Consider the following 14650-nt stretch of genomic DNA (forward strand, 5'->3'; position numbering starts at 1 on the left):
CGAATGAATGTCACACCACGGAATAGATTAGAGCAGTCCAATAGAGCATTCTGCAATGATGGAAACAGTCTATAATCTGTGCTGCCCTATATAGCAGCCAATAGCTACATGTGGCTATTGAACACTTGAAATACGGGTAGTGTGACTGAGAAACTAAAGTTTAATCTTTAATAATTTAAATTTATAATAGCTACGCACGGCCAACGGCTACTCTACTGGACAGAACAGAAATACAATTCACCTTTTCTGACTCGCAGACTGGTATTCTTCCAGTTTCACAGCCTGCTTCTTTCCAATTTTCTGAAATCACTCACTCACTTGACTTTAACACTAAAATGTGACTGGGAAAAAACCCACAAAAGTAAAATAATACTGCAGAAAAAAAAATAAATAAAACATCCCCAGTTAAACTTTCGCTGTTTTGTACATTGGGAAATAAAGTAAAATATCAGATCATTGTTACACATACATGTAACAAGACTGCAGAAGCAAGAAAGGTCAAATTATTTCTACTTCCACTTGCAGGGAAGGGTGTTATAACACAGATAAAACAAAAAACTCTCTGAGCCTTGAGATCACGAGTTTTCCGACCTGATTTCTCTACTTGGTCACTAACAATCTCCTTCACTTCTCAGAAGCTGGGTAAGAAACCAGGCTGGTCAGCATCACCTGCAAATTCTCCGGCTTCTGACTTCTCTCTCACCACAGAGACAACTCTCTGATTTGCTGGTTTGGGTGGCACCGCACCGAAGACTCACCATGTGCCATGCACTGTGCAAAGCACTACCCATACATGATGTCACTTCATTCTCACTGCAGCCCTTTGTGGCACCGGGAGGTTAAAAAGCTGGGACCAAATCACACAGCCAGTCAGGAGTAAAGCAGGGACTCCCAGATATGGCTCCCAATCTGCTCTTAAACACTGCGCTAAGGTAAGGGCCTAAAACCTGGGAAAGTAACCCTGGCTGGGAAGGCGTGAGAAGTCCCCCTGGGGAGCAGAGCAGTCAGGGGCTGCATAGCCAGGGAGGGGTCCTGGCGGCTCTTACTTCTCGATCTCCAGCGCTGCCACCTTCCGCTTTTCGTACAGCTTGTCATTGAGGGCGCGCACGATGTTAGGCGTGAGCGGCGCGAAATCCTTCTCGGGGTTCATGGTGGCAGCTGGGGGAACCTCGCGACTCCTTAGCCCGCGGCTGCCGGGGCCGCGCCGGGGCCAGGGGAGTCTGCGGCTCCGCTCTGCCCCCGGCGCCGGCGCATGGACCACGCCGCTCTAGGCTTGCCTGCCACGCTCCGCCGCCTCGCCCTGGAACCCGGGCCCGGACCCCGCTCCAGCACACCTGACCCTGGCCGCTTAACAACTCCCGCCCGGCACTAGCGGGACTCACGAGACAGCGGCCATGTTACTCGAGTCACATGACTCTACAGCACTTCCGCCTTCCGTCGCGAGGGCCCGCCCCTCTCCAGCCACGCCCCCACCGCAGGCCGCAGGTGGATTGGCCACGCCCTCGGAAGGCTCCACCCACACTGCACACACTATCGCGCTGCGCGCCAGGTAGCTGGAGTGTGGTTTGAGACGTGCTTTAATGGGTGTGTAGCTCACGCCCAACTGATGGCACGTGGTGGGCTTCTGTAGACGTTCGTAAGACCGAATGGGTTCTTGGAGTCTGATTCACTTAACATAATTTATTCAATAGTCACCGAATTCACTAGTTCATTCAGTAGTTGGTCACTTACCAATTTCCTAGATGCAGACGTTTCCCTAACTGCAGTAACACTGTCATCACTTTCACCATATTCTAGCCACTTGTATTATCTATTTAATGTTTTCCTCAAATCAACTCACTTTAAAAAATACCTTAAATCTCTTTTAGCTTTGCTTATGCCCTAAAACCATGAGTTTGAATAGGTATATTTTTTCTAAGACACATCAAAATAAATTCTCAATTAAAAATGGCACTACCTGTCTACCACCTAAGATCTCAGGTACCACCAGTGTCTGTCACTCCACCATTTGGGGGTGTGTTTAACATGCTCTGATGCCTAGGAGGGCTGGTTACAGACAGAGAGAAAGGCCCCAGATCTGCTGAGTGCGGGTCTCTAGATAGGTCCCCTGGAAAGCAGCCCCTTCAGCTGCTTCGGGAATCACATTACATGGTGAGACAGAAATCCCAACTATGTGGCAAAATATTTAAAAGCAATTTATGGCCGGAGTGTGGTAAACATGCAGTTAACAGGGAGGTGCATCAGCCTTTCCTATCATAAGCTTTCAGAGTGAACAGGGACTTAGGACAAGGGCTAGATTACAGTGGAGCTCAAAGAATAACAGTTTCAGAATGCATGGTGATACTTTTCTTTAATGAATGAAAAGTGCATATATAGGCCTTATAACAGTCTTGAAAATGGAGTATTTTCCTCAACAGAAACAGGGACGCAATGAGTAAAGGGCAAAAGTAGGCAGAATTCTAGGATGACCTCCAATATTCCCACCCCTTCGTGTTCATGCCCTGTATTATGCCCTCTTTCAGCGTGAACAAGACTTGTAAATATGATGGGCTATGCATCACTCACATGATTATATTATGTAATATCGCAGAAGAGATTTTGCAGATGTAATTAAGGTCCCTAATCAGCAGACATTGAATTAATAAAAAGAGAGATTAACTTGAGTCGGCCTGACCGAATCAAGTGAGTACTTAAAAGAGATTAGAAGAAATTTGAACTGGAAGAGAGACTCTCCTGTAAGGAGTTTAGTCATATGGCCACAAAGGAATGAATTTTGCCAACACATTGAGGGTCCTTGGAAGCAGATCTTTCCCTAGTTGAGCCTCCTGATGAGGATGCAGCTGGCCAGCACCTTGATTTCAGCCTTGTGGAACCCTGAGCTGAGAATCCAGTTCACACTGGGCTCTCAACCCATGGAAACTGTGAGATAATAAATTTGTGTTGTTTTGCTCTCCTAGTTTTGTGGTAATTTGTTATGCAGCCATAGAAAATGAATACAAAGGCTAATCCAAAACTCGGCAAGTCATGGATATATCATGTCTAGAAAAATCCATAAAAAATGTATTCTCCTATACAGGTGGGGTTTTCATAGTTGTTAAAACCTTTGCTGACACAATCCTATGAATGAAGGTAGGTGCGCTAACAAGTAGTAGTAGTGCTGCCAAGGACATCTCCAAATGTCTTGCAAAGTTTGGTTTTAGGATTTTGATGATGGTTGATGAAAAACACTGAAAAAATGTAAATCAATGGGAATGATTTGGTTCTATTTCTCCAATGTGTGTGCATTTCCACGGGACGCATATCTAATATATTTCATGTTTCTTTTGCTTTTTGGTTTGGCTTTTTCTTAGAGGTGAACTGAATTTCCCAAGGGTAATGATACAGTTTTTAATAATTCAAACAATAAGGAATTTTTTTTTTACCAGAAGTATTCTTTTCTCCTGAAATTATATTCTGGCTCAGGTTGCTAAGTAACCAGTTTTTTATTCAAGGCCCAGACCAATGCCTACCTTTAGGTCAGAAGTTCCTAGAAAGAAGTGGTTCTTTTCTCTAATATCTTGAAAAATGCCAACTAGGTAAGATTATTTATGCATAATTGAGCTAGCAGTGGTGGTAAAAATAAAGCCCAAAGGCTACCCTTGCCTTCCACCCTTGTTCCTCTTCTCTGACCTGTGACCATTCCTGTTGAAACTCTTCTAGACTAGGGGATAACTGATGTGCCTGACTGCATACTAGTCATTATTTCACAGTTACAATTCATCTGCATCTGTGTGATGCTTGGTTGTTATGCTAGAACTTGTAATAGTTCTGTAACAACTATTCATAATAGCTATTACAAGTATGTAAAAGTTATGACATAACTTGTAGCAAGAGGCTGCTGATGACATTGTAAGAAATTGTACCAAAATCTTGAACTGTGCAAAGCAGTTTCTCCAACAGCAATGTAATTGTAGCTGGAGTTTCAGGGCAACAGGGTTTAAGGTATTAGGTAGAGGTCTTGAAATGTAGCAGGCCCTCACCAATGTTACAGTATTGTCACCTCTGACTTGAGGCTCCTAAAGAAGTGGTTAGACTTAGCATGCCACACTCACTGGGGGCCCAGTGTGGAACGAGGCCAGGGAGCCCCATTCCCATGGTATTCTGTGCACAGTGCTCCTTGGAGTTCTGCCACACAGCTACCCTGACATTTTCTGAACATCCCCCAGTTAGAAGTCTCCTGGTCTGCTTTGCTGAGAATGGATTCTCCAATGTAACTTCCACAAGCATGTGTTGGAAGGGTTATTTTCATCAAGCCTGCTGTTAAGCTACTTTGCCATTCCAAATTTGCTAATATAAGACTATTTTGTTATTGTTTGAGGCTAAGGAAGCACGAGAAAAACCTAAAGGGAAGAAATGCACCCAATCTCAAACCAGCCTGGAAGAGGGTTCACACTGGGGCAGGATCTGAGCTTGGCTCTTGGTCCCAGGGAGAAGGAACTTCCTCCTCTCTCAGGGGCTAGGAGGATTTGGACCCTAGACTCAGTGGTGTTATAGGACCAACACGTTTGTGTGCCCACTGTGCAGTAACAGACCAATGCACAGAGACAGTGGGGATGCAGCAGAGAAAGTGATGATCAAAGGTCACTGAGTGATGAGATGGGAGGAGACCCTCAAATCCATCTCCCGGAAGAGTTCTGGACTGGGGTTTTTAAGGGGATCCTGGAGGGTGAAGGGCTGAAAAACCAGGTGACTGATTGGTTGGGTAAGACGGATGAAATCATCAGGATGTGGAAACCGCATTCTTTGGTGAATCAGCTTCTCGTGAGGTCCTTCAGATCAGCTGATGTCAGTTGTTTCACTGGTACACAGGACCAAGAATAAATATCTCAAACGGAAAACTTAACGTTTCCTAATGTTCAAGTTGTTATCTCCAGAGCATTGAGGGGAACTATGATCTTTAGCAGGGTCTACGTGATTCTGAAACAGCAGGCACCAAACAGCTATGAGGAAGCAGGTCTGAGCGCAGGCTGATCTAGTGATTAATGCTGAGTGTGCTGCAACCTGGGTTCGTTTTTGTTTCTCCCCCTCCCTTCTCCCTGATCACTTTTATAAAATGTATATGGACAGCTTCAGTGGCTTGGGGAAGCACTGGAACAGGTCTGAAGTTGGGGGAGTTGCCCCTAGCCACCCCAAGGCTGGCTATAAGCCATGCTGGGGCTGGTGGCATGTTAGACAAGATTTCAGACAGCTTCTTCCACCTTTTCTTTAGTCTTAGGGATCACTTGGTGTACCACATTGACCATTATTGAAAAAGTACACCCTTTTGAAGAGTAGGGTGAGGGACCAATTGCTTCCCTTCTCCTAACCTATACCTCTGGTGAATAGGTGGAAGGAGGCACATTTTGGGGAGGGTTAATTTCATCAACTAGGTCCTATGCAGATTTGGTAAGACTTCTCAGGACTGTAATGAAAGAGTTATGGCTGTGGGTTTGGCAAATGTCAAGTTTTGCCAGGTACCTTAAAGTAGCACTCTCAGCTGCAATGTGCATGCAAATCGCCTGGAGGTCCATGAAAATGCAGATTCTGATTCAACAAGTCTAGGGTGGGGCCTGAGGGCCTGCCTTTCTAACAAATTCCCAGGTGATGCTGATGCTGCAGGTCCATAGGCCACTCCGAATAACCAGGAGGCTCGAGGCTTTAGAGTCGTGGTTCTCACAGTCTGATTGGTCTCACCAACGAGCATCACCAAGAACTGGTTAGAAATGCAGATTCTCAAGCCCCACCCAAATCTCCTAGATCGGACTTCCTGAGGGTGGGGCTCAGCAATCTGTTTCAGTAAGCCCTCCAGGGGATGCTGATGTATACTAATATTTCAGAAGCACTGACTTTATACAGATGCTGTATATTTGCAAGTCATCACTCTTGCTCATTGATCTTAGCATCCTCTCAGATTATTGGTCAGAGCGATCTTTGCTCACTTAACCATTGTGAAAATCTGTCATCTGGTTGTCTTTAGACCTATCAGTAGTGTCTTTAGAGGTTATAGAAATAAATTGTCTATTGAGTATGGCAGTCCTCCTCATCTATGGCTTCAGTTACCTGTGGTCAACTGTGGAATGAAAATATTTAATGAAAAATTCCAGAAATAAAAAATTCATACTTTTTAAATGGCATGCTGTTCTGAATAACTTGAGGAAATCTCATGCCATCCCACTCCATCCTGCTCAGGATGTGAATCATCCCCTCGTCTAGCGTATGCATGCTGTAGACACAACCTACTTGATAGTCACTGAGTAGATGACTTGGGGTTAGCAGGTCAACTGTCATGGGATCGCAATGCTTGTGTTCAAGGAAACCTTATTTAGTTTAATAATGGCCCCAAAGCACATGGGTAGTGATGCTGGCATATTATTATAATTATTACATTTTATTATTATTATTGTTAATGTCTTACTGTGCCTAATTTATAAATTAATCAAAGGTATGTATGTAAAGGAAAATACCACAGTATATGGAGTGTTCAGTACTATCTGTGGTTTCAGGCATCTACTGGGCACCTTGGAATGTATCCCCTGAGGATGAGGGAGGACTATTGTAAAGGTCTGTGTTTACAGACATTCTAGAAAAAGCTTTTTTGGTCCTAGAGTATACTGGGCTAGGGTTGTGGGGAGGTACAGAAGAAGGAGAAGAGTCTCCCTCCATGAAAGCCACCTCTGACAGGTATAAGGACTTGCTAAAAGATTGCCGGGCCACACCTACAGACTTTTTGATTCAGTCGATCTGACATGGGGACTGAGAGTTTGACTTTTAATAAATTCCCAGGTGATAGTACTGCTGCTGGCCCAGGGACCATTTTTAAGACCCACTTCTTTACGGCATTCATTCCCAAGAGGCCATCTTCTTCCAGTCTCCTGCCCCTCTTGTAGGAGGGCTGTGGGGGATGAGTGTGGGGAGCAGGTAGAGGCAGGGGGACCCTCCGTCAGAGGTGTATGTCTGCAGAAGCAAACCCATGCCAGGGCCAGACTTTAACCATCTGCTATACAAGTTAAATGTATATAATAAAGATGCCCACACCCCTCTCCAGACCAATTACATCAGATGGGGACTGGGCACGTTCAGAGTGAGAGTTAGGTGGTCCTGATGTGCAGATGGGTTGAGAATCCCTGCTCTCCTGCTGAATGCTATCCAAGGCGGGGTGTGTATGTGTGGTGGGGGGAGCTGGGATCTCTATTAGCCTTTCTCCAGGGCCTAGACTTCAGTGAGAACTTTCTGTGTAGGGCAGATGTGGGATTCGGACACTGATGGTATAAAAGCCAAGAGAAAAAGTGATGGGAGTGTCCCTGGATTGCCCTAATGTTATCTGCTCATCCCTCTGAAAATATTTATTTGGCTTTTATGTGAAAGCAGAATAAAATGCCACATCAAAATAGTCATGTCTAAGGGCTTTTTAAACCATTTTGGATTTTAAAAAGAAACTGCAGTACCCAGCGTCACGCATTGCTAAGTGTTGTAGAGTAGAAGGTCACTAGTGTGATACCTGTGCCTTCTTGATAAAAATGGGAATTATTACAAAGTACTTGAGCTTTGGGGCTATGTCAAGAAACTCAATTTAGGGACTCACAAGGATTCAGTTGTCTAAAATATAGAGCTGTTGTGTGTAGTTATAATGTTTAATATGGAATAGATATTTCATATCTATATTTGGAAAACACATAATAGGGAAATAACTGCCCTATAATTGTATGAGAAGAATAAAAACAGTTCCTTTAGAATTCTTATTGTTTTCTCTATTCTTTTTCAGGCTAAGACAATGCATAGCTTTTGGTTGATACAGGTAACCCTGGTTACCACTAAAGGGTGATCCCCTTCAGATAATAAACCCATTTAACTCCAGTCTCACTCCCTTCACCAGGAGGGCAGCTCACAGTCAGCTTGGTGGTGATGGGGGTTTTGCTGCCAGATGGGTTTCCTTCAAAGGAGACTGTGATGTTGTTGATCTTCTTGGGCCGCACAGACTCTCCAGCGCGAATGGTGAAGGCTGGGTTATCCACGATGATGGAGAAGGTCACCATGTGATAGAAGACATTCTTGAAGGGGATGATTATGCTGTACCCGGCTCGGATCGAGAAGGGACCTTGGGGCTTGGGAGGCAGAGCCATTCCAAAGAGGGGGATGATATACTCTCCACCTGCGAGCGATGATAGGATCAGGATGCCCTTGGTCTCACCCAGGTGGCTGGGCTCGAATAAGACTTCCACACTGGCTTCAGTGCCTCCCTGGCCTCCTGGGGCTGCATTAATGAGTTTTTCTGCGTGGAAGTCTGTACAGTCGGTCTGAAAGGGGAACAAACAAACTCAGCTCACGTGAGATCCTGAAGAGCACACCAGGAGCTCAAGTCTACCCCAGCCCCTCCACTCCTGGACATCAAGCAACTATGTCTGTGTGAGACTGGGAATGTTATAAAGTTGTGTCCTTATAACTCCCTTGTAGGGTAGGTATTACTAATTATTATTTCTATTTTGCTACAAAGAAACAAAGGCAAAGAGATGTTAATAATGTGTACTGAGACACACAGCCACATTACGTTAATAGGGCAGTCATGGATGCTGATCCCCTATATTCGGTTCTTTCCTTCCATGTACATGGAAGACCAAACATTCTGGTTCCTTGCAGATGGGTGGTGCTAGTTCCAGACAACTAGCTGTGAGCAGAAGTGAAAGGTGTCACTTCCATGCTAGAGCCTTTCATTGCCAATTTAACTCCTGTCAGGGTCCTTTCACCACTCTAATACTGTACTGGAAATATTTGAGATGGTGCTTGAATCCCAAGAGACTGAGATGAGCAGGGTCCCCTGCTGGCCTCTCTGGAAAATTGCTCAAATGAGAAACAAGCCTTCATCTTAAGCCCCTGTGATTGCTACTGCACCTAACCTAGCATCTCTTGGCTGATACAACTGATCAAGAGCCTCTGCCTCTTGGCTACAGCCACAAGATCTCTGATTTTACCTGGGCATGTGACTGCCCAGTACAAAAGCTACCTTTCCTAGCTCCTTTGTTGATAGGTGTGGTCCTGTGAAGTTTTGTTCCATGGAATATTAGTAGAGGTGATATATACAACTGTCCCCTCTTCCCTTGTAGCTGGCTGGAATGTGGATGTCCTGATAAACCATCTTGGCCCACGTGGACCAAAACAGCTCCCTTCAGAGGGCAGAGCATCGGGACAGAAGATGTCTGGGTGCCTGGTGTCAGCGAGCTGCCATTCCAGCTCAAACTGCTTATGCCCAGACTGTTATTTGTGAGAGAAACCAACACCTAATTTGCTGTTATTTGTGGTTTCTGTTTTTTAGAATTTTATTTTATGTTTTTAAATAGAGATGAGGTCTCGCTATGTTGCCCAGGCTGGTCTTCAACTCCTGGCTATAGCGATCTTCCCACCTGAGCCTCCCAAAGTGCTAGGATTGCAGATGTGAACCACTGTGTCTAGCTTTGGGTTTCTGTTTTAGTAGTTGAACCTATATTCCAACTGATGTAACAGCTAATGTATATGGAGCACTTACTATAGGCTAGGCTCTAAGAAAATGGCTTTAGATACATATTTAAAATCCTTATAGCAATCCTGCAAGGTTGGGGGTATTATCCCCATTTATAAATAAGCTTAGAGAGCTTAAGCAAATTATTCATACAAAGAGTAAGTGGTGAAGCCAGGACTCAAACCCATGTCTGTTTGATTCCACAGCCGATACCATGACTACTAAGCTATACTGTCTCCCTCTGTGGATCACTGGGCGTGCTGTGTGAAACAAAACTCCCCTACACTCCATCACAGCTTGTTAAGACAGAAAGTCTGTAATGGAAGAACCCAGGCCTGGTGCTGTTTGTTTCTAGCTGGGAGTTTCCAGGCTAGATTCAGGCCTCTGAGGCAGGTGTCACCATGACAACGAAGCACCTGAGTCTCTCTGAGTCTCACATTCATGCTCCCTGTGTCTCCTCTCATTGTTTTTGAACCCAGCGTTCATGTGAGGGAAGGGCAGAAGGTAGAGCAGGGGCCACTCACCCTGCAGTAGTATTCTGTCCTCTGCCGTGTGTAATTGATGAACTTCACAAGGATGATTTGGCTGCTGCCAAGGACAGTCTGGAAGTGAACAGGCTTTTCCGGAAGTGCTGGCGTGGCTTTCAGATAGAGCTCATATTGGTAGTAACCCAAGTCAGTGTTGTGCAAAGTTAGTCTTCCGAAGGTTTCTCCAGCTTTCAGGGGCTGAAATTCAAATGAGAACGTGCCCTGGAAGAGAAAACAGAGGATCCTGTCATGCTGAAAGGCTAATTCATCACCTGCCACCTAGAGACCTGCCCAAGGCTCCATAGCAGGTTGGGGGCAGAAATAGTGCACATGATCATGCTGTTCTTGCTCCTGGGGAACCTGTCCAAACCAGCCCACCCTCTCTCCCCTGTACCTCTCCTAGCTTTCTCTAGTTCAGGTGATTCTATATCTGGGATCTCTATGAATCTAAGTGCAGGTGCTGGACTGTCTCCTGAGAAGCGCACATAGGGAGATGTGGAGATGGGTGAGTGCTGCCAGTAGGAGGGCTGAAGCTTAGGCAGCTCCTTCTTTGCTCATGGCCAATCTCAGAACAGCGTCCTGGGTTCTGCCATCCTCCATTATTACCCATGGCGAAACAAAGCAAGAACAGAAAGCATTTCTTATATAGCAAAACAAGGGAAACAATTCGAATGTATTATTAGTAGAAGATTAGTTAAACAAATTACAGTTTTCTCATTTCAGTGGAATATTGTGTAGCCACTAGAAAGGATGAGGTAGAGCGGGGCCTGGTGCGGTGGCTCATGCCTGTAATCCTAGCACTTTGGGAGGCTGAGGCGGGTGGATCACAAGGTCAGGAGTTCGAAACCAGGCTGACCAACATGGTGAAACCCCATTTCTAAAAAAAACAGAAAAATTAGCTGGGCGCAGTGGTGCGCACCTGTAGTCCCAGCTACTCGGGAGGCTGAGGCAGGAGAATCACTTGAACCCGGGAAGGAGAGGTTGCAGTGAGCCAAGATCGTGTCACTCTAGTCCACAGCCTGGGCAACAGAGTGAGACTCCGTCTCAAAAAAAAAACCAGAGGTGTAGAGCAATACACATCGAAATGAAAGGTGTTGATGTTGATGATATTTTAAGTGGAAGAAAGCAGGTTCCAGAAATGCATATATAGTATGAGCTCTTTTTTGTGAAGAATATGTCTATGGATGTATAGAAAGAGACTGTAAGAATATATACCACACTGTTACCAGTAGTTATGTTAGGGTGGGAAAATGGGATTCTGGAGACTTATTTTCAATTTCATATACTTTTATATAGGTAAAATTTGGTTTTACTATGAGTAAGTATTTAAAAAAATAACTAGTTCTTATTGAAAAATATCAGAGGCTGGGCTCAGTGGCTCACACCTGTGCTTTGGGTGAGTGAGGCAGGAAGATCACTTGAGCCCAGGAGTTTGAGACCAGCCTGGGCAGCATAGCGAGAGCCTGTTTCTACAAACAACAACAACAACAACAACAACAAAATTAGCTGAGTGTAGCAGCACACACCTGTAGTCCTAGCTACTCAGGAGGCTGAGGCAGGAGGAGGCCTTGATTGTAGGAGTTTAAGGCTGCAGGGAGCTATGATCATACCACTGCACTCCAGCCTGGAAGACGCAGTGAGACCCCATCTCTAAAAAAGTTTTTTAAAAAAGAAAAATATCAGAATAAAAAGAGGATATCGCTGAAGTTATAGTTGTTTAACAAAAAAGAATATAGTATAAGAATTTAGATAATTTTACCACAATTTAAAAACTAGATAAAATAGACATGTGTATAAACAAATATAACCTATAAAAACAGACCTCACTTTGGGAGGCCAAGGCAGGCGGATCACCTGAGATTGGGAGTTTGAGACCAGCCTGACCAACATGGAGAAACCCCGTCTCTACTAAAAATACAAAATTAGCTGGGCGTGGTGGCACATGCCTGTGATCTTAGCTACTCGGGAGGCTGAGGCAGGAGAATTGCTTGAACTCGGGAGGCAGAGGTTGTGGTGAGCCGAGATCACGCCATTGCACTCCAGCCTGGGCCACAAGAGCAAAACTCCATCTTGGGAAAAAAAAAAAATCAGACCCAAGAACATATAGAAAATCCACTTAGTTCTATTAATATAACCACTAGAGAAATGTAATCAATAGTAAAAAAAATCCTTAAAGAAATTCAGGTTCATAAATGTTTACTCGTAAGTTATACCAGACAATCAAGGATGAAAGAATACTAGTATTCCACAAATTCTTTCAGAGAAAAGACTAAGAGGGAACCCGTTCCAACCAGCATAAAGTTGATACCAAAATCCAACAATAATAGGAGAAAGAAAAATTGGATGCCAGTCTTTCTCCTGAACATAGTGAATTTTAGAAGATGGTTGGGTACAAAGTCATTATACAAAATAAATGAATTGTAGCCAGGCGTGGTGGCTCACGCCTGTAATCCCAGCACTTTGGGAGGCTAAGGCAGGAGGATCACTTGAGGCCAGGAGTTCAAGACCAGCCTGGCCAACATGGTGAAACCCTGTCTCTACTAAAAATACAAAAATAGCCATGCATGGTGGCGCATATCTGTAATCCCACCTACTCAGGAGGTTGAGGCATGAGAATCACTTGAATCTGGGAGCTGGAGGTTGCAGTGAGCCTGATCACACCACTGCATTTCAGCCTGGGTGACAAAGCGAGACTCTGTCACAAACAAACAAACCCGAAATAAGTGAATTGTAAAAGATGATGGGGTACAAAATCAATACACAAAAATCAATTATATTTCTATATTCTTACAACAAATAATGAAATTTTAAAAAGATACTATTTGTAATAGCATCAAAATATATAAAACCTAGAAATAAGCCTAATAAAAGATGAATAAAGTCTCTACATAGAAAACCAAATAAATGCTATTGAGAGAAATTAAAAAGGACTTAAATAAGTGGAGATTTGCTCGTGGATTGGAAATCTCAATATTGTAAAGATATTAATTCTCCTTCTGATAGACAGGCCCAAGATGGTCCTCAATAATCCCCACCTCTGGGGATTCCCAGCCTCGTGTAGTCTTCTCCCATATGATACCAGGGGCTGACCTGTGTGACCACTGGTATATGGCAGAAAAGATGGCATGTCACTTCTGAGATTAAATGATGAAAGACTGTGGCTTCTATTCTTTTTTTATTTTTTTGAGACAGAGTCTCGCTCTGTCACCCAGGCTGGGGTGCAGTGTTGCCATCTCGGCTCACTGCAATCTCTGCTTCCCAGGTTCAAGCAATTCACTTGCCTCACCCTCCTGAGTAGCTAGGAATACAGGCACATGCCATCATGGCCGGCTAATTTTTGTATTTTTAGTAGAAATGGGGTTTCACTATGTTGGCCAGACTGGTCTTGAACTCCTGACCTTGTGATCCGCCTGCCTCAGCCTCCCACAGTGCTGGGATTACAGGTGTGAGCCACCGCGCCCGGCCTGTGGCTTCTATTCTTGTGCACTCTTTCTCTTAGATCTCTCATCCTAGGGGAAGTGAGCGAGCTGCCATGTTGAAAGCAGCTCTAGGGAGAGGCCCGCATAGTGAGGAACTGAAGCCTCCAGCCAACAGCCAGCAGGGAGCTAAGGCCTTTCCAGCAACCACATGAGTGAGTCTGGAGACAGAAAATCTAGCCCCAGTCATGCTTCGAGATGACTAGCGTCCTGGCTGACAACTTGATTCCAGTCTCCTGAGAGACCCTGAGCCCAAACCACCTGGCCAAGGTGCTGCTCTTAAATCCTGATCCTCAGAAACTGCGCAGACAGTAAATGTCTGTTGTTTTAAGTTGCTAAGTTTTGGTTCATTTGTTACAGATCAACAAATAACTAATATATTCTGAAAATAATCTATAGATTCAATGTAATCCAAATCAAAATCCCAACAGGTTATTTTTCTTTTCTTTTTATTTTTTATTGAGGAACTTGACAAGCTGATTTCAAAATTGATATGTAAATGTAAAGGGCCAAGAATAGCTAAGATACTCCAGCAGAACAACAATATAAGAGGTTACTAAGTCTCAACATAAAGCTGGAATAATTGCTTGCTTTACCAGACATCAAACCTTACTCTAAGTAGGTAGTAATTAGGATGCTCTGATATTGGCACAAATTCAGTAATTAGATCATTATGATATCATAGAAAAGCTAGAACAGACCCATGCATAGATGAACTTGATTTATTTCATAAACGGCCCTGCAGAGCAGTGGGGGAAAAGATGGCCTTTTAAGTAAAAACAGTATGAGACAATTTATACCCATTTGGAAAAAAAGAAAACTTGACTTCTGCTCACATATGAAAGCAATTTCAGGCTTTAGGCAAGATGATTGCAGCAGCGTAGTTTGGTATCTCCCCAAATCTCCCCACGAAATGCACAGATCTACTAGGTTAACAGCAGCAAGAACACATGGCCACGATTTATAACAAAACTCAGTGAAAAGGTAACCCCTCAAATCCCAAAATACTAGTGGGTAGGACCAAATTACTAACAGCTAGCAGATGGATGCGGTATCAGCCACTATAGAGGAAAAGCAGGAGGAAGGCAAAACAGCATCAGTCTCGAGAGCCCAAGAACCCAGAATCGCCTCTGAATTGG

General features: G+C 44.2%; 2 protein-coding genes across 6 annotated transcripts in view, besides 3 other annotated features; both read right to left on the reverse strand.

The window, feature by feature from the left end:
- Window positions 1–1408, reverse strand: part of VAC14 (VAC14 component of PIKFYVE complex) — a 113720-nt gene extending 112312 nt beyond the window's left edge. For all 5 annotated transcript variants that reach the window (NM_001351157.2, NM_018052.5, XM_005256038.5 and 2 more), the window contains exon 1: window positions 1047–1408. Coding sequence is in view for 4 of the 5 variants with exons in the window: in NM_018052.5 (NP_060522.3) it covers window positions 1047–1150 (104 nt within the window). In the remaining variant the exon portion in view is untranslated. The remainder of the gene's footprint in view (window positions 1–1046) is intronic.
- Window positions 1094–1716: an enhancer, noted in NCBI's record as "H3K27ac hESC enhancer chr16:70834747-70835369 (GRCh37/hg19 assembly coordinates)". NCBI's record gives its function as "activates a minimal SCP1, AML or CMV promoter by ChIP-STARR-seq in naive H9 embryonic stem cells {active_cell/tissue: H9 hESC(naive)}" and the evidence as "EXISTENCE:reporter gene assay evidence [ECO:0000049][PMID:30033119]".
- Window positions 1114–1303: a silencer, noted in NCBI's record as "silent region_7674". NCBI's record gives its function as "represses an Ori minimal core promoter by ATAC-STARR-seq in GM12878 lymphoblastoid cells {active_cell/tissue: GM12878}" and the evidence as "EXISTENCE:reporter gene assay evidence [ECO:0000049][PMID:35858748]".
- Window positions 1384–1443: an enhancer, noted in NCBI's record as "active region_11070". NCBI's record gives its function as "activates an Ori minimal core promoter by ATAC-STARR-seq in GM12878 lymphoblastoid cells {active_cell/tissue: GM12878}" and the evidence as "EXISTENCE:reporter gene assay evidence [ECO:0000049][PMID:35858748]".
- The window catches only part of HYDIN (HYDIN axonemal central pair apparatus protein), a 428639-nt gene continuing 416322 nt past the window's right edge, over window positions 2334–14650 (reverse strand). The window contains exons 85-86 of the mRNA NM_001270974.2: window positions 10033–10257; window positions 2334–8312 (exon numbers count right to left, since the gene is read on the reverse strand). Of these exons, the coding sequence (NP_001257903.1) occupies window positions 7830–8312; window positions 10033–10257 (708 nt within the window). The 3' untranslated portion in view covers window positions 2334–7829. The remainder of the gene's footprint in view (window positions 8313–10032; window positions 10258–14650) is intronic.

This window comes from Homo sapiens, chromosome 16, assembly GCF_000001405.40.
Source record: "Homo sapiens chromosome 16, GRCh38.p14 Primary Assembly".
NCBI lineage: Eukaryota > Metazoa > Chordata > Mammalia > Primates > Hominidae > Homo > Homo sapiens.